The sequence below is a fragment of the Homo sapiens genome, chromosome 2 (assembly GCF_000001405.40).
Source record: "Homo sapiens chromosome 2, GRCh38.p14 Primary Assembly".
NCBI lineage: Eukaryota > Metazoa > Chordata > Mammalia > Primates > Hominidae > Homo > Homo sapiens.
This window is the reverse complement of record NC_000002.12, coordinates 237,826,107-237,845,853: the sequence shown is the minus strand read 5'-3', so window position 1 is coordinate 237,845,853 and position 19,747 is coordinate 237,826,107. Positions and strand designations below refer to the sequence as shown.

The 19,747-nt window shown below is 36.8% G+C and overlaps 1 protein-coding gene across 8 annotated transcripts in view; it reads right to left on the bottom strand.

Moving 5' to 3' along the window:
* Positions 1-3,048: 3,048 nt before the first annotated feature.
* RBM44 (RNA binding motif protein 44) overlaps positions 3,049-19,747 on the bottom strand; it is a 44,027-nt gene continuing 27,328 nt past the window's right edge. For 4 of the 8 annotated variants that reach the window (XM_017004055.2, XM_017004054.2, XM_017004056.2 and 1 more), the window contains 6 exons: positions 18,525-18,607; positions 18,351-18,421; positions 16,352-16,637; positions 11,712-11,857; positions 11,431-11,576; positions 3,049-4,015 (listed from right to left, as the gene is read on the bottom strand). In XM_017004055.2, the coding sequence (XP_016859544.1) occupies positions 11,453-11,576; positions 11,712-11,857; positions 16,352-16,637; positions 18,351-18,421; positions 18,525-18,607 (710 nt within the window). In that variant the 3' untranslated portion in view covers positions 3,049-4,015; positions 11,431-11,452. Of the gene's footprint in view, positions 4,016-11,430; positions 11,577-11,711; positions 11,858-16,351; positions 16,638-18,350; positions 18,422-18,524; positions 18,608-19,747 lie in introns of those variants that run through there. The other 4 variants (NM_001080504.3, XM_005246075.2, XM_011511155.2 and 1 more) reach the window with 2 other exon arrangements.

Below are 19,747 nucleotides of genomic sequence, written 5' to 3'. Positions count from 1 at the left end.
AATCCAGTAGCACATCAAAAAGCTTATCCACCACAATCAACTTGGCTTCATCCCTGGGATGCAAGGCTGGTTCAACATATGCAAATCAATAAACGTAATCCATCATATAAACAGAACCAAAGACAAAAACCACATGATTATCTCGATAGATGCAGAAAAGGCCTTTGACAAAATTCAACAGCCCTTCATACTAAAAACTCTCAATAAACTAGGTATTGATGGGATGTATCTCAAAATAATAAGAGCTATTTATGACAAACCCACAGCCAATATCATACTGCATGGGCAAAAACTGGAAGCATTCCCTTTGAAAACTGGCACAAGACAGGGATGCCCTCTCTCACCACTCCTATTCAACATAGTGTTGGAAGTTCTGGCCAGGGCAATCATGCAAAAGACAGAAATAAAGGGTATTCAATTAGGAAAAGAGGAAGTCAAATTGTCCCTGTTTGCAGATGACATGATTGTATATTTAGAAAACCCCATCGTCTCAGCCCAAAATCTCCTTAAGCTGATAAACAACTTCAGCAAAGTCTCAGGATACAAAATCAACGTGCAAAAATCACAAGCATTCCTATACACCAATAACAGACAGAGAGCCAAATCATGAGTGAACTCCCACTCACAATTGCTTCAAAGAGAATAAAATACCTAGGAATCCAACTTACAAGGGATGTGAGGGACCTCTTCAAGAACTACAAACCATGCTCAACGAAATAAAAGAGGACACAAACAAATGGAAGAACATTCCATGCTCATGGATAGGAAGAATAAATATTGTGAAAATGGCCATGCTGCCCAAGATAATTTATAGATTCAATGCCATGCCCATCAAGCTACCAATGACTTTCTTCACAGAATTGGAAAAAACTACTTTAAAGTTCATATGGAACCAAAAAAGAGCCCGCATTGCCAAGACAATCCTAAGCCAAAAGAACAAAGCTAGAGGCATCACACTACCTGACTTCAAACTATACTACAAGGCCACAGTAACCAAAACAGCATGGTACTGGTACCAAAACAGAGATGTAGACCAATGGAACAGAATAGAGCCCTCGGAAACACTACCACACATCTACAACCATCTAATCTTTGACAAACCTGACAAAAAGAAGAAATGGGGAAAGGATTCCCTATTTAATAAATGGTGCTGGGAAAACTGGCTAGTCATATGTAGAAAGCTGAAACTGGATCCCTTCCTTACACCTTATACAAAAATTAATTCAAGATGGATTAAACACTTAAATGTTAGACCTAAAACCATAAAAACCCTAGAAGAAAACCTAGGCAATACCATTCAGGACATAGGCACGGGCAAGGACTTCATGACTAAAACACCAAAAACAATGGCAACAAAAGCCAAATTTGACAAATGGGATCTAACGTAACTAAAGAGCTTCTGCACAGCAAAAGAAACTACCATCAGAATGAACAGGCAACCTACAGAGTGGGAGAAAATTTTTACAATCTACCCATCTGACAAAGGGCTAATATCCAGAATCTACAAAGAACTTAAACAAATTTACAAGAAAAAATCGAACAACCCCCATCACAAAGTGGGCGAAGGATATGAACAGACACTTCTCAAAAGAAGACATTTATGCAGCCAACAGGCACATGAAAAAATGCTCATCATCACTGGCCATCAGAGAAATGCAAATCAAAACCACAATGAGATACCTTCTCACACCAGTTAGAATGGCAATCATTAACAAGTCAGGAAACAACAGGTGCTAGAGAGGATGTGGAGAAATAGGAACGCTTTTACACTGTTGGTGGGACTGTAAACTAGTTCAACCATTGTGGAAGACAATGTGACGATTCCTCAAGGATCTAGAACTAGAAATACCATTTGACCCAGCCATCCCATTACTGGGCATATACCCAAAGGATTATAAATCATGCTGCTATAAAGACATATGCACATGTATGTTTATTGTGGCACTATTCACAATAGCAAAGGCTTGGAACCAACCCAAATGTCCATCAATGATAGACTGGATTAGGAAAATGTGGCACATATACACCATGGAATACTATGCAGCCATAAAAAAGGATGAGTTCGTGTCCTTTGTAGGGACACGGATGAAGCTGGAAACCATAATTCTGAGCAAACTATTGCAAGGACAGAAAACCAAACACTGCATGTTCTCACTCATAGGTGGGAACTGAACAATGAGAACACTTGGACACAGGGTGGGGAACATCACACACCGGGGCCAGTCGTGGGGTAGGGGGAGGGGAGAAGGATAGCATTAAGAGATATACCTAATGTAAATGATGAGTTAACAGGTGCAGCACACCAACATGGCACATGTATACATATGTAAGAAACCTGCATGTTGTGCACACGTACCCTAGAACTTAAAGTATAAAAAAAAAGAGTGGTATGGCACTATTCACAACAGGCAAGATATGAAGTTAAACTAAGTGTCCAACAAAGATGAATGGATAAATAAAATGTGATATATATACACAGTGGAATACTATTCGGCCATAAAAAAGAATGAATCCTGTCATTTGTGGCAATGGATGGAACTAGCAGACATTATGTTAAGTGAAATAAGCCAGGAACAGAAAGTTAAACACTGTATGTTCTTACTCATGTGGAAGCTAAAGAAAAGTTGATATCATAGAAATAAAAGGTAGAACAAAGGATACTAAAGACTGGGAAGGGGAAGATAGGGAGAGATTTGTTTAAGGATACAAAATCACAGCTACATAGGAGGAATGAGTTCTAGCTTTCTGTACCACTATAGGATGGCTATAGTTAACAATAATATATAATTTCACATAGCTACAAGTGGGATATTGAATGTTCCCAAGACAAACAAATGATAAATGTTTGAGATGATAAATATGCTAACTACTCTGATTTGATTAAAATGCATTATGTATATGAAAACATTACTACGTGCCCCATGAATATGTACAACTACTATCTGGCAATTAAAATAAATAAAATAAATAAAGAATATTTGTTATTCTGGAAAAACAAAAAAGAAAATGCCACTGAACCTGAAGAAAGCATTAAATTCACAGTGGTACTAAAGATTAGATGCCTTTATTAAATATAAATACAACAAATATAAACGTTAAAGGGCTAATTTTTAGTCAAGTAAATCCAACTACACATTGAATGCTATAAACATTTAAAACATTTAAAGAAAATGCAGACTTAAATGTTAATCTTACTATTAATAAAAATGCAACTTAAATATTATATTACTTTTAAAAAGTAAGCAATTAAAGAACTATCTATTCTATATTTCTATCAGATAAGGCATAAAATCAGCCTTTGAAAATTGTTCTAACAATACAACAAAACTTTTCACAAAATGAATGCAAGCACTATAGGGAACATTGGAATTTAAGTACTTTACCAAAGCACATACAAGTTTACCCTTCCCAGGGAAGGCTAACACACCTGAATGTTTTATACTGAAGTCATAAAAAATGCATGAAATGTATCATGACAGTAATTTAATTATCTTGGAAGCCTGAAAGCATACACATTCCAAAATGTTGTATGATACTGAATGTATCTATACAGTTTATTTATCTGTTATCCTATAATCCAATGTAAGAGTCTTAAGACAAAGTTCAGGTAAATTACATTTTTTATGTATGGAAATCATTTCACAAACATTGATGTAACAACAAACCTCCTTCTTGGTCAATACATTTTAAAAGTGACTTAATAAAGGTTTTTAAAATGGACAAGACAATTTCTTTAGATCACAAATATGCATCTTAATGTTCTAAGTAACAAAATTGAAATAAAAAAATTTAAAAACTTATTAAAAATTATATTTTAACTTTAAATATATAGAGAAGATCTTAATATTGTATAGACAACTGTTGCTAGATTTTAAAGGAGGGATATAAAGTAGAATATTTTAACAGCTTAGCCCATTTATAGAGCCTATTTAATTACATCATCTTGTTATTACTACTTTTTCCTAAGTGCTGTAGAACATTCTCTGAAGGAGGAAACACACTTTCCAAGGAAGTTCTAGAATCAAAAGAAAGGAGAAATCAACAATGATTGTTGAGTATCTTTTGTTAAGTACATTCCTAGACACTTGATTGTTTCTAATGGTACTAGAATATCTTTTAACAAATTTCATTTTTCTTACATCATGGATAGTGAGAATTGCAATTAATTTTTGTGTCTTGTCTTTGTATCTAGCAATCATTTTAACTCATATTTCTTTCACATGCCTCTCATTTTATTTCATTTTAATAAAGAAAAATCAGATATTTTATTTTAAACTTCTGTTTTAGTTTCAGGGGCATATGTGCAGGTTCGTTATATCGATATAGATAAATTACATGTTGCAGGGTTTAGTGTATAGATTATTTCATCATCCAGGTAATAAGCGTGGTACCAGATAGGTAGTGTTTTGATCCTCACCCTCCTCCTACCGTCTAACATTAAGTAGGCTGCAGTGTCTGCTGTTCCCTTCTTTGTCCATGTGTACTCAAAGTTTAGCTGCCATTTATAAGTAAGATCACGTGGTATTTGGTTTTCTGTTCCTGCATTAGTTTGCTTAGGATAACGGCCTCTAGCTCCATCCATACTGCTGCAAAGCACATCATCTCATTCTTTTTTATGGCTGCATAGTACTCCATGGTGTATATATACACTTATCTTTATCCAGTCTACCACGGATGGGCATTTAGGTTGATTTCATGTCTCTGCTATTGTGAATAGTGCTGTGATAAATATGCACATGCATGTGTCTTTATGGTACAATGATTTACATTCCTTTGGGCATATACTCAACAATGGGATTGCTGGCCCGAATGGTAGTTCTGTTTTAAGTTCTTTGAGAAATCACCAAACTGCTTTCCACAATGACTGAACTAATTTACATTCCCACCAACAGTGCATAGGCATTCCCTTTTCTCTACAACCTTGTTAGCATCTGTTATTTTTTGACTTTATTTAGTAATAGCCATTCTGGGTGGTATAAGATGGTATCTTGTGGTTTTGACTTGCATTTCTCCAATGATTAGTGATACTGAGCATTTTTTCATATGCTTGTTGGCCACGTGAATGTATTCTTTTGAGACAAATGTCTGTTCATGTCCTTCACCCATTTTTTAATGGGGTTATTTTTTTCTTGTTAATTTAAGTTCCTTACAGATTCTGCATATTAGACCTTTGTCAGATACATAGTTTGCAAATATTTTCTCATATTCTGTGGGTTATCTGTTTACTCTGTTGATAGTTTCTTTTGCTGTGCACAAGCTCTTTAGTTTAATTAGGTCCCATTTGTCAATTTTTTTGTTGTAATTGCTTTTGGCATCTTCATCATGAAATCTTGGCCAGAATGTAATTGTCCTACTGTCCAGAATGGTAATTCTTAGGTTTTCTTCAAGGGTTTTTATAAGTTTTAGGCTGTACACTTAAGTCTTTAATCCATGTTGAGTTGACTTTTGTATATGGTATAAGGAAGGGGTCTAGTTTCAGTCTTCTGCATATGGCTAACCAGTTATCCCAGCACCATTTATTGAATAGGGAGTCCTTTCTCCATTGCTTGTTTTTGTTGACTTCGTTGAAGATCAGATTGTTACAAGTGTGCATTATTTTCTGAGGTTTCTATTCTGTTCCATTGGTCTATGTGCCGTGTGCCCTTTTTTTTTTTTTTTTTTTTTTTGAGATAGAGTCTTGCTCTATCACCCAGACTGGAGTGCAGCGGTGTAATCTCAGCTCACTGAAACTTCTGCCTCCCAGGCTCAAGGGATCCTTCACTTCAGCCTCCTGAGTAGCTAGGACTATAGGTATGTGCTATCATGCTCGGCTAATTTTCGTATTTTTTGTGGAGATGGGGTTTCACCATGTTGCCCAGGCTGGTTTTGGATTCCTGGCATCAAGCGATTTGCCTTCCTCCCAAAGTGTTGGGATTACTGGCGTGAGCCACCCCCTCCCCAGCCTATTCTGGGTATTAACCCCTTATCAGATATATGATTTATAAATATTTTCTCATTCTATGGGCTGCCTTTTCACTCTTTTGATAGTGTCCTTTGATGTTCAAGTTCTTGATTTTGATGAAGTCTAATATATGTATCTTCTTTTGTTGTCCATGCTTTTGTTGTCATATCCAAATCAGTGCTAAATCCAATACTGCAAAAGTTTTCCACCGTTTTCTTCTAAGAGTTTTATAATTTTAACTCTTATGTTTAAGTTGTTGATTCATTTTAGTTGATTTTTGGATATGGTGTAAGGTAAAGGTCCAACTTCACTTTCTGCATGCTTTTGAAAATTGTTCTTTTAGGGGCCGGGCGCAGTGGCTCATGCCTGTAATCCTAGCACTTTGGGAGGCCAAGGCGGGCGGATCACAAGGTCAAGAGATCGAGACCATCCTGGCCAACATGGTGAAACCCCGTCTCTACTAAAAACACAAAAATTAGATGGACGTGTTGGCGCGTGACTGTAGTCTCAGCTACTTGGGAGGCTGAGGCAGAATCGCTTGAATCTGGGAGGTGGAGGTTGCAGTGAGCTGAGATCGCGCCATTGTACTCCAGCCTGGGCGACTGAGTGACTCCGTCTCAAAACAAAAAACAAAAACAAACCAACCCCTCCCCACACCCAAAAAAAGAAAATTGTTCTTTTAGTAGTTGCCCCCAGATTTACAACATGGATTCGTTGTTCTGATATCAACTGGCACATATGTAGAAAAAGGGTTAAAGTAGCAGGCCTAAGACTGCCATCCTTAGAAAGACCTGCTTGCAAGGTTGGCCCCTGGCTGGTAACTAGGAACTTGTGATTTTGGGGTGGGGGTTCCCACCATTTCCAGAAATGATGAGTGCCTCACTATACTAAAACTGCTATACAAACAATGTGGTTTATGTTGAATTGCTGCTCCCTGACAGCCTGGAGCTACAGTATGTGCTAGGCAGAGGGCAACTACATGACCATCCCCCAGTAAAATCCTTGGGCACTGAGTCTTTAATGAGCTTCCCTGGTAGACAACATTTTATAGGTGTCACAATTCATTGAAATTAAGCACATCTTGTGTGATTCCACTGGAAAAGGACTTTTGGAACCCTGTTTCCTCCAGACTTTACCTTATGTACCTTTTCCCTTTGCTGATTTTGCTTCATATTTTGTTGCTGTAATAAATCATAGCCATGAATACATCTATATACTGAGTAATGTGAGTCCTCCTAGCATATAATGAAGCTTGGGGTGGTCTTGAGTACCCCCAACACAGAACATCTTACTCTCTTCCCAAACTGCAAGGTGTTTAGTAAGAATACTTAATCCCCTCTCAACTTATGTATTAGTATTTTCATGTATTTTAATTATATTAGAACCTATAAAACATCATTATTTTTGTTTCTACAGTCAATATTGATTGAGACCTACCACATATTTAATCTTCGTTGATCTTCATGTCTCCTGTACCTCTGACCTTTCATTTAAAATCACTTTTTTCCCCAGAGAACATTCTGGTATTTTCTTTAGAGTAGGGCTTCTTCTAAAGTAACAAATTATCTTAGTTTTTTTATTTGCAAGATAATTAGTTATTTTACATTTATTTTTGAAGGCTCTCTTCCTGGGTCTAGAGCTTTGGGCTTGGAGAATTGTTTGGTGACTTCTGTTGCGAGTCAGCTGTGAATCTAACTGTTGCACTCTTAAGGTAAACTTTCTCCCTCCAGCTGCTTTATAGTTCTTATAGGCTTTAATTTTTCAAGCAGTTTTTCTCTGATGTACTCATGTCATGCTGAAGGCTGGAGTGGCTGTGGCAACTTCTTAAAATAAGACAACAATGAAGTTTGCTGCATCAATTGACTCCTTCATTCACAAAAGATTTCTCTGTAGCTTGAGATTCTGTATGATAGCATTTTACCCAGAGAAGGACTTCTTTCAAAATTGGAGTCAATTTCCTTAAACTTTTTTTTAAACACCCTCAAACTTTGCCACTGCTTTGTCACCTAAGTTTATGTACTATTCCAAATCCTCTGTTGTTATTTCAACAATGTTCACAGCATGTTCACCAGTAGTAGACTGCATCTCAAGAAAGCATTTTCTGGGCTGGGCACAGTGGCTCACACCTGTAATTCCAGCACTTTGGGAGGCTGAGTGGGAGAATTGCTTGAGGCCAGAAGTTTGAGACCAGCCTGGGAAAAATAACAAGATCCCATCTCTACAAAAATAACAAATAATAAAAAAAGAGAGCACTTTCTTTGCTTATCCACAATAAGGAACTTCTCATCTATTCAAATTTTATCATGAGGTTGCAGCAATTCAGTCACATCTTCAGGCTCCACTTCTAATTTGAATTGTCTTGCTATGTCTACCGCATCAGCAGTTACTTCCTCCACTGAAGTCTTGAACCCCTTAAAGTCATCCATGAGTTGCATTCAACTTCTTCCAAACTCTTGTGAATATTGATATTTTTACCTCCTCTCATGAATAATAAATATTCTTAATGGCATCTAGAATGGTGACTCCTTTCCATAAAGTTTTCAATTTACTTTGTCCAGATCCATTAGAGAATCAGCTATGACAGCTATAACCTTATGAAATGTATTTCTTAAATATTTAAGACTTGAGTCAAAATTACTCCTTGATCCATAGGCTGCAGAATGGATGTTGTGTTAGCAGGCATAAAAAAAACCCCATTAATTTCCTTCTACATCTCCATCAGAGTTCTTGGTGACTAAGTGCATTGTCAATGAGCAATAGTATTTTGAAAGAAATATATTTTTTTTCTGAGTAGTAGGTCTCAATGGTGAGCTTAAAAGATTCAGTAAACCAGCCTGGGTAACATGGTAAGACCCAACCTCTAAAACAAACAAACAAACAAAATTATCCTGGCATGGTGGTATGTGCCTCTAATCCCAGCTACTGAGGGAGGCTGAGTCAGGAGGACTGCTTGAGTCCAGGGATTCAGTAAACTATGCTGCAGGCTGGGCTCAGTGGCTCATGCCTGTAATCCCTAGCACTTTGGGAGGCTAAAGTGGGAGAATTGCTTAAGGCCAGGAATATGAGACCAGCCTGGGCAACATAGGTGAGACCCTGTCTCTACAAAAGGTTTAATTTTTTTTTTTTTTTTTTTTGAGACGGAGTCTCGCTCTGTCGCCAGGCTGTAGTGCAGTGGCGCAATCTCAGCTCACTGCAACCTCTGCCTCCCAGGTTCAAGTGATTCTCTTGCCTCAGCCTCCCGAATAGCTGGGACTATAGGTGCACGCCACCACGCCCAGCTAATTTTTGTATTTTTAGTAGAGACGGGGTTTCACCATGTTGGCCAGGATGGTCTCGATCTCTTGACCTTGTGATCCACCCGCCTCGGCCTCCCAAAGTGCTGGGATTACAGGCGTGAGCCACTGTGCCTGGCTGAAAGGTTGAAATTTAAAAAGAAAGTAGCAGGGTATGGTGGCATGCACCTACTGTAGTTCTAGCACTTAGGAGACTGAGGCAGGAGGATCTTTTGAGTCCAAGAGTTTAGGGTTGCAGTGAGCTATGATTGTGTCACTGCACTCCAGCCTAGGTGATAGCAAGACCCTATCTCTAAAAAAAGAACAAAACCCAAAAAACCTCCATGCTATAAACAGATGTGTTGTCATCCAGGCTTTGTTGTTCCATTCACAGAGTGGAGGCAGAGTAGATTTAGTGTAATTCCTAAGGGCCCTTGAATTTTCAGAACGGTAAATGAGCATCAGCTTGAACTTAAAGTCAACAGCTGCATTAGCCCCTAACAAGAGAGCGTGCCTGTCCTTTGAAGCTAGGAATTGACTTTTCCTCTCAAGCTGTGAAAGTCCCAGATGGCATCTTCTTTCAGTAGATGGCTGTTTCTTCTACACTGAAAATCTGCTGTTTAGTGTGGCTACCGTCATCAATTATCTAACTTAGATCTTCTGGGCATCTTGCTACAGCTTCTACATCAGCATTTGCTGCTTCACATTGCACTTTTGTTAGAAAGACGACTTCTTAGAATGATACATTGGACTTTGGGGACTGAGGGAAAGGGTGGGAGTGGGGTGAAGGATAGAAGACTATATGTTGGGTATAGTGTACACTGCTCAGGGCTTGGGCGATGGGTGCACCAAAATCTCAGGAAAAAAAAAAAAAGATGGCTTATTTCTTTAAACCTCATGAACTAACCAACCCTCTGTTAGCTTCACACTTTTCTTCCTCAGCTTCCTCCCCTCTCTCATCACCTTCAAATAATGGAAAAGAGGTCCTTGCTCTGAATTAGGCTTTGGCTTAAGGCAATGTTGTGGCTGCTATGATCTTCTACACAGACTACTAAAATTTTCACCATATCAGCAATAAGGTTGTTTCACTTTGTTATCATTCTCCTGTCCACTGGAGTAGCACTTGTAATCCCATCAATAACTTTTCCTCATTGGCTTCACGACAATGAACCACGTGGCTAACTGGTACAAAAGGCCCAGTTTTCAGCCTATCTTGGCTTTTGACATGCCTTCCTCACTAAGCTTAATCATTTCTAGCTTTCGACTTAAAGTGAGCTCTTTCTTTTAAGAGTCATTTAATGTGACTCTTTCTTTCCCTGGAATACTTACAGGCCATTGTAGGATTATCAGTTGGCCTAATTTCAATATAGTGTCTCAAGGAATAGGGAAGACCAAAGAGAGGGAAAGAGATGGGGAAACAGCCAGTGAGTGGAGTCGTCAGAACACACACATTTATAAAATTTGCTGTTTTATATGGGTGCAGTTCAAAGTGCCCCAAAATAATTACAATAGTAACAAAGATCACTGATCACAATCACCATACAGGCGTCACAAAAAAGTTTGAAATGTTGTATGAATTACCAAAATGTGACACAGACACAAAGTGGGTAAACATTGTTGGAAAAATGGCGCTGATAGACTTGCTTGATGCAGGGTTGCCACAAACCTTCGGTATGTAAAAATTGCAGTATCTGCGACTACTGAGGGTAGATAATACAAGACAATGCAGCTTCCATCTTGCTCTCTCTCTCTCTTGCTTAGGGGAAGCCAGCTGCCATGATGCAAAGACATTTGAAGAGCCTTATGGAAGAGCCTATGTGGTGAGGAACTGAGGCCTCTTGCCAACAGACATGTGAATGAGCCCCCTGAGAAGCAGATCCTCTGGTCTCAGGGAAGCCTCTGAATGACTACAGTCCAGGCCAACATCTTGACTGCAACATGAAAAACCCTGAGCTAAAACTACCCGGCTAAGTCACTCCTGAATCCTGATCTGCAAACTGTGAGTTTATGAGTGTTGTTTAAGCCAGTCAATTTTAGGGTAATTAGTTTTGCCTTAGTAGTTAACTAATTACAGTATGCTTGTTTTAAAATTTCATATTATTTTGTGATTATATTATTATTTTAAATTTAATATGTTTTTTATGTAAAAAGAAAATGAAATCAATAGCTTATAAATTTTAAGTAATATTCAAATACAAAAGAATATGATTACTTTACCTCTTTATTGTTTTTTGAATTCCTAACTGGAAGCAGAGTTTTTCAGAAGAGATGAAGTCATCTCCACAATAGTAGTAATAGATAAGCCATTCAGAAAACCTTTATGTCTTATTCTCACTTCCTGAAGTGCATTTATAATATGGTCTCTATGAAAAAGGAAAACATACATGAGTATTTGTCTTTTCCAAAGGAATACATTCTGAATATATCTAAGTTATTAACTTGAACTATATTTTTACACAGAAGTTTTAAAGCAGTTAAAATATAATTTTGGTTATTACCTGCTGACTTCTGGATGCAGTTCAGCCAGTCTCTTTATGATCTTGGTAAAGCTACGAAGGTTCAATGTATTTGGAGGTATGAATTGAACGGGTGTATCAGGTAATAATTTAGCAGATTCAATCTGCTTACAATTCTTCTTGACACCCTAAATAAGCATTTAAAAAGTTTTCTTAAAATCAGTAAGGACCATTACATAAAGATAATACCGCTTATTCAACAATAATATATTTGAAAATTAAAATAATAAAATAAAAATTCCTTAAAAATTTACTTTAACTTGGGATTGTTTATACCAATTGCATTTACTTGAGCTGTGTTTCAGGGCCATGTAGTACAAAACATACCCAACATTTTTTCTTACTGATAAACTATAGGAGGCTATGTCTAAATAAGGCTTTCTCAACCAGATTCCTCATCTGAACCATAGAACACAGAAAATGATGTAACTACTTTCTCAATTCTCTCAAAGATAGGACATAACTAGTTTCATTTTGGATGCACAGGAGAGAGATTCATTCATTAAATAAATGTTTTAGGCTTAGGGCATTAAGGCTTAATTCTCTTAACCAACCTAAGAAAGGCTACACAGTAATTAGAGATATTTTACATTGTATTTACTATATGCTGTATGTAATGAATACAAATTGTATGCCCAGAAGTGCACTATATGCTGTGGGGGAAAAACTATAGTGACATAAAACAGAACCCTCTATTGCGAAGAGACAAAATTAAAATGACCAATTAGTTACTGTTAACACTGCAAGTAGGCTATAAATTGTAGAAAACCACTGTAAATCCCATAAAAGTTCAACAAAGGAAGGACTCAGACTTTAAAGCCTCGATGAAAAGTCAGGGCAAGACACATGATATACTGGACCTTTCACATCAGAACATTGTATCTTTCACTTGCTTGTTTATTGCCTTATCTCCCTCACTAGATTTTAGCTCCTTAAGAGTACAGATTTTTGTCTCTTTTGTTCATTGTTGCTTTCCCAGTGCCTAGAATAGTGTACACAGTTGGTATGTAATAACTATTTGTTTAATAAATAAAAAGTTTGGGATACAATAGTTTAAGTGACAGTTGAAGTTAAGTGCTCTCCAAGAAAGAAGCCAAATTATTGGTAAGTAATAACAACAACAGCTAATATTTTCTGGGTACATCTTCCATGGTAGGCACCGTTCTAAAAATTTTTCTGTATTAAGCTTATTTAAGCTCATCAACATTTGTGAGGTAATGGCTCTCATCTCCATTTTAAGATAAGGAAGCTCAGAAACGGAAAGGTTAGATTAGTTTTCCAGAGTCACATGGTGAGTAAGTGGCAGAGCCAGGTTATGAATCGAAGAGTTTTTATTAATCACCACGATTCTGCTTCTCATTGTAGACAATCAATATTTTCTAAATGAATAGAATAAATAATAATGTTGAGAATCAGAAAAAGAACAAGGGAACAAGAAATTGCCAGAAAGGAAAGAGAACTTGGAGTATAGTTTAACAAAGATGGTTACAGGAGCTTCCCTATCCACATACTCCTACCAACAGCCTGTACGGCCCTCTTTATAACGTCTCTCTCCCAACCCCATGGCCCACTGCCACAGCTGACAGGACCAAGAGTGTTGCTGCCTGAGCTAATGAACATCAAAATCACAGCCTGGATCAATTCAATTTCCTGTCTAAAGCATGTGGAATTAGCAGGGTGTGGTGGCTCACACCTGTAATCCCAGCACTTTGGGAGGCCAAGGTGGAAGGATCACTTGAGGACAGGAGTTTGAGACCAGCCTGGGCAACATAGCACGACCTGGTCTCTACAGAAAAATACAAAAATTAGCTGGGCATGATGACACACCTGCAGTCCCAGCTACTTGGGAGGCTGAGGTGGGAGGATTGCTTGAGCCCAGGACTTCAAGGCTACAGTGAGCTGTGGTTGTGCCACTGCACCCCAGCCTGGGTGACAGAGTGAGATCCTGTCTCAAAAAAAAAAAAAAAAGACTGAAATTAGAACATGAAGCAAATGAATTACTCAAATCACAGGGACTTGAATTGAAAATACAGAGTTAGAATCAAGCAAAACAAAGCCAAATGGGGGAAGAAAGCAGTCATGAGCAGAGAAAAGCAGTCTGTAGAGAGAGGGGAATAAGGGGAATGAACACAGGGAGAGCAGAGGCAGGAGACCACATGTGCTACACGAGAGAAGAAAGGGAGAGCCACAGTTCCCAAACCTCCAGCTCAGGGCCCCACGCAGCTTCACTGCACTTTATTTCCTTCCTTCCTGCTGTAGATCGAGGCTATGTACCAAACAAATCAATCCCACACATGAAGGGTCACTGAGATGAAAGGAAAAGTTTCAAGAAAGGGATGAACAGTGTCAAACAGGTAAAGTAGTAAAGAGGAAGGCAGATGAGGGAAAGACAAATAAAAGGTCACTAGTGCCTTATGAAAAGGGCCGTTGAGGTAAAATTTTAGAGACTGAAGTCAGATTATCGGGACAAAAGAGAAGCAAAGAAACAGACATTGAATATAACCTACTTGATTGAGAAGTTTGGCAATAAAAACATAGGATAGGCTGGGTGTGGTGGCTCAGGCCAGTAATACCAGCATTTTGGGAGGCCGAGGTGAGCAGATGACTTGAGGTCAGGAATTCAAGATGAGCCTGGCCAACATGGTGAAACCCCATGTGTACTAAAAACACACAAAAATTAGCCAGGCAAGGTAGTAGCTTCCTATAATCCCAGCTACTCAGGAGGCTGAGGCAGGAGAATTGCTTGAACCCAGGAGGCAGAAGTTGCAGTGAACTGAGATTGCGCCACTGCACTCCAGCCTGGGCGACAGAATGAGACTCCATCTCAAAAAAACAAAACAAAACAAAACAAACAAAAACAAAGACAAACCCCCCCCCCCCCAAAAAAAAGGACAAATAAGGATGGTAAAGTTAAAGGAATGCAAAGTCAAGTGAAAATCCTGTCAGGATTAGGAAGGGCTGTGCCTGACTTGGAGTACAGGCGAAGGTCTGTGAGTGGAAGCGGAGTTGCTAATAGTAGAGAAAAGGAATGGGATAACTCCAGGAATGAGGAAAGGACTGGATAAAGGACACAGTTAGAAGAGATCCCTTTATCTTATTAAGGGAAAAAATCAGATACATTTATTCAACAAGTATTTATTCTTGTGCTGATCTATGGATTCAAAATAATCCCAGCAAAAATCCAAGTAGGATTTTTTTTTTTTGTAGATAGACGGTGAATTATAAAAGTATACAGCAAGGCAAAGAGACTAAATAGCTACAATAACTCTGAAAAAGAATAAAGTTAGAGGACTCATCCCACCTGATTTCAAAACTTACTATGAAGCTACAGTAATGAAGACAGTGTACTATGGGTAGAAAGAGACAGTTCAGCGAAACAGTTCCAGTCTAAAAATAGACTCACACAAACATGGTCAATTGATTTTTGACCAAGGTGCAAAGGTAATTCAACAGAAATAGGATCATCTTTTTAACAAATGATGCTGGAACTATTCCATATGCAAAACAGAAACAAATGCAAATAAACAATAATTACCTCAACAAATACCTGAAACAATATATAAAAATTAACTCAAAATCTCTGTGACCTTGGATTATGCTAAGATTTCTTAGCTTCAACACTAAAAGCATACATTATAAATGAAAAAAATTAATAAATTATACTTCATAAATACTAAAAAAAATCCCTGTTCTGAGAAAGACACTGTTAAGGGAATGAAAAGACAAGGCACGAAGTGAGAAAAATTATTTGCAAATCACCTATCTGGTAAAGGACTTAAAATCAGAATATTAAAAAATCAAAATTCAATAATAAAATAAACTGAATAAAAATGGACACAACATAAGCAGGAATAAAATACCAGTATACACAACAACATGGATCAATCTCAAATGCATTCAGGGAAAGAAGCCAGGCTAACAGGGCTATATAGTATAATTTCATTTATATAACATTCTGAAAAAGGTCAAGTTTTAAGAATAGGAAACAGATCAGAGCACAAGATAATTCTCTGGAGTGATGGAACTGTTCTGAATCTTGATTATGGTGGTGGTGACTTGCCTATATGCATTTGTCTAAAGCTATAGGCACCAAAAAGTATTGAATTTTACTGTGCGTAATTTTTTTTTTAAAATCTGTGGAATGCCTATGGGACTCCAGGCAATTTGCTGAGCAGTGGAGAGAAAAGACTGAACAAGGCAAACTTTACCACTTTTCACAGGGTGTTTACCTCCATAAGAGAGACATGAGAATATATGAAAATACAATGACTACATTTTACGGTTTTAACAATTATGAGATAAAGTTAGCTATGAAAGAAAAATAAAGATGAAATTATAATTAGTTACTTATAGAGTAGTAATAAAAAGACGGCGAAAGACTGGCAAAGAGCCTAGTTAAAACGAGTTTTTCGTTAGCTTGGTCTACAAAGATCTAGATTTCCCCCCAGGAACAATTGGAGTTGTACAAAAGCAGGTTGAGGTGGATTCAAGGTTGAAAACAATTCAGATTAATGCTGTCATTCCCATTTCAAGACTGCATATTGAAGTTATTTATTCTACAAAGCTACTTACAGCAATATGACGTACAAAGACCATTTAAGGGATCTATCAAAAACACTAACCTGGTCGGAAGGGAAAACCTCACTGTCTTGCTCAGAACCCAGCTGCCGTGGCCTAGTTCTGGGCAATCTAGAAATGGAGAATTCTGAGTGGATTTGTTTGTTGGTGCTTTTCTCTAAATTATTCGAACTAATTCTATTCCCATTTTTGGAGGAAAGTGGTGATGTATATTCTCCAAGAATTTTAACAGGCCACACATTTACTGACTTTCCATTTATTTCTATCCCATTCATTTCTTTCACAGCTATCTTTGCATCGCTGTTTTTTGTAAAAGCAAGAGATGCATATCTAAAACATAAGAGCAGAAAACCAAAAGGTTGTTAATGACTTCAAATTACATCAAACTTAATTTTGCAACTACTGATGCAAATACGTTTTTCACAAGAGTAACTGCTTTTAAAAATAAAAAGGTTGCTGTACTTACCTTGGGATTAAGAAGAATATTTATTTAGGATAACTAAATAAAAACCAAGTTAAAGATGGGAAATAGAAGAAAAGTATTTCTTACACATTATCTCCTATTAATTTCATATTAAAATCTAATGTAAAATATTTGCGAAGCTAATATATGATAGAGTTGCAGAGATTAGTGGTCTGGGGACAACTGGTTATCCATAACTTAAAAACCTAAAACTAATCCCTATGTATAAACGTAAACTTCAGATAACTTAAAGGCTTAAATGTGAGAGGCAAAATTTTAAATATTTAGCAGAATATGCAAAAGTGTATCTTTATGACCTTGTAGTGGGGAAATATACAGACAAAAACAAAGAGTTGGAAAATCTAATCAGAATTTTAATTATATATACAAGAAAGTTGGGCAATAGCTATTCCTATAAAATCATCAGCCCTAGACAGCGTCAATGGAAGGATATATACCAAATCCCGGGAAGAGTGGCTGTTTTCAAATGATGGGACTATGGATACATTTTTATAAACTCCTTGTAGTTTTGCACTTAATTGTACTTTCTAAATTTCTACACAGAATGCAAAATACTTCAAGTAAGAAAAAAACATAGTTTTAAAAAAGTATTCAACAAGATACTAAAAGAGTTTTCACATCAAGTAATAATCCTAGGATTACAATACTACTTTAATGAAATGTATTAACATCATATCAACAGGTTAAATAATTACAGCTGAACAATTATCTTACAATTATATGACTTCATTTAAGACACACATTTTTAATAAATTGCAACCCCAACTACAAACAGGATCCTTTCTTAATTGATAAAAATTTTATATCTGAAATAAACAGCTATCACTTTTAATAATGAAACAGTAAAAAAATTTCCATTAAGCTATCGCCATTGTTATTTAATACTTTTGAATGATCTGGCAATGTCACAAAACAGAAAGTAGCAACATACATACTCAGACTGACTACATGTAAATGAGGTAGCTGTCTACCTAAAATATATAAAAAGTGTCAACTAAAAAGTAACTGAAATCAGAAACAGTGAAATGAAATACAATTTTCTGAGCACCTACTATGTGCCAGGCTTTATTCCTAGTGTTTCACATATTTTACTTCTAACAGTTTCACAGCAATGCTGTGAAGTTAGTATTATTATCCTCACTTTATAGACAAAGAGGCTGAGGTACAGAAAGGTTAAGTAACTTGCCTAAATTTATTAACCAAGTTGTTGACAGAGCTGGGAATTGAACCGATGTTATCTATTTCTGGAAGCCGTTCTTTTACCTAATGTGCTCTACTTCCCCTATGAAGTGGCATGTAGCAAGATAAAGTATACAAAAATCAATAACTCTCCTGTATACCATTAACAAGTTATAAAGTATAATGAAAAAAAAGATCTGGTTAAGAACAGTATCAACTCAAGATTGCAGCTATTTGTCCCTATGTCCCCTTCCCTGGCCTGTGAAACCCTGTGAGAATAACCCTTGACTTTATCACCACTGTGGCTGATATCTGGTATAGAACCTTTGGCAAACAGCAGACACATAATAATGCACATTGATTAAAGTTGGGAAACACACCTGTAATTAGTAGAATCATAAATTGAAATTTCAGAAACTTGGTATTTTTGGAAATGAGACCTTAAATCGGCCTAAAAGAAGAGAAATAAAAGTTTGTGAAAGGTAGAAAAAAACAACAAATATGAACAACTAATAAATTTGAAAATGAAGCTCAAAAAAATAATCCTGGTATACCTCAGATACTGAAGGGCAGAGGCCACCAACATGTATCAAATAACCTTTATCTCTTTGTGAGGGTTCAACATTCTTCATTTCTGCTTAGAGAAAAACATGTAACAGAAATGATCTTTATTGTACTGATATGTTTCAGAGAAAATGTGAACACTGTTAAATATTTTGTTTCCTTTCTACTAACCCAGAGTTTATTATAAAGTTATCAGCAACTATCAGCACTTCTAGACTGAGGACTAAGAGCCTGCAATATAGTTTTAAGATTTCTGGGCCTTAATCACATCATCTTAAAAACTAAAGAGGCTGGGTTAGTTAAGTCTCTTGTAGCTCAAAAATGAATAAATTACATCTAAACAAAGTAATCAATTACTGTAATTGTTGTCCCTCAGTATCCCTGGGGGACTGGTTCTAGGACACTCCAAGGATGCTCAAGTCCCTTATGTAAAATGGCACAGTATTTGCATATAACCTACACACATCCTTCTGTGTACTTTAAATCATCTCTAGATTAGTTATAATACCTAATACAATGTAAATACTTGTTATACTGTATTGTTTAGGGAATAATGAGCCTCCCAAAAAGTCTGTATATGTTTAGTACAGGCTTTTAAAAAATATTTTCAATCTGCAGTTGATTGTCTTTGTCTTTGGTTCAGAGAAGTGCTATCTAGAACAGTGGACACACACAGGATCTTAACTCCCTAGTGTTAATGCTGGCTAGAGCTAGTGGTCTGAGAGCTCTCATTATGCACATTCCGTTGCTGGGGAAACATCACACCAAGAAAACCTTTTAATTGGGCAATATAATAGCAGGTATTATAATATATAGCTTGCAATAACGGTAAGGGCACACAAAAAAGGGGAGAGACAACTTGAGTTAGACAGCATGATTTTCCAAATTACAAATACTAGGATTATAGATAAATATTTTTCTTGATAAAAAATTTCAAAATTCTTAAGAGTACGTTTTCATAGTCTCTATTGTGAAGAGAACCTGAAACCAAAAAGGATCCACTGAATAGAGATTCAAATTACTAGCAAATCCCATACCTGGCACACAGGAAGTACACAAATATTTGCTGAATAAATCCTTAAAGTAGCTTTTATTTATATGCTTTATAATTTTTATATAGTAATGGGAGATGTGGAAATTTTATTTTTTTCATTAAATAATAATAAATAATATATAAGAGTAGCCTAACACTTATCCAATGTTTCTGATGCTC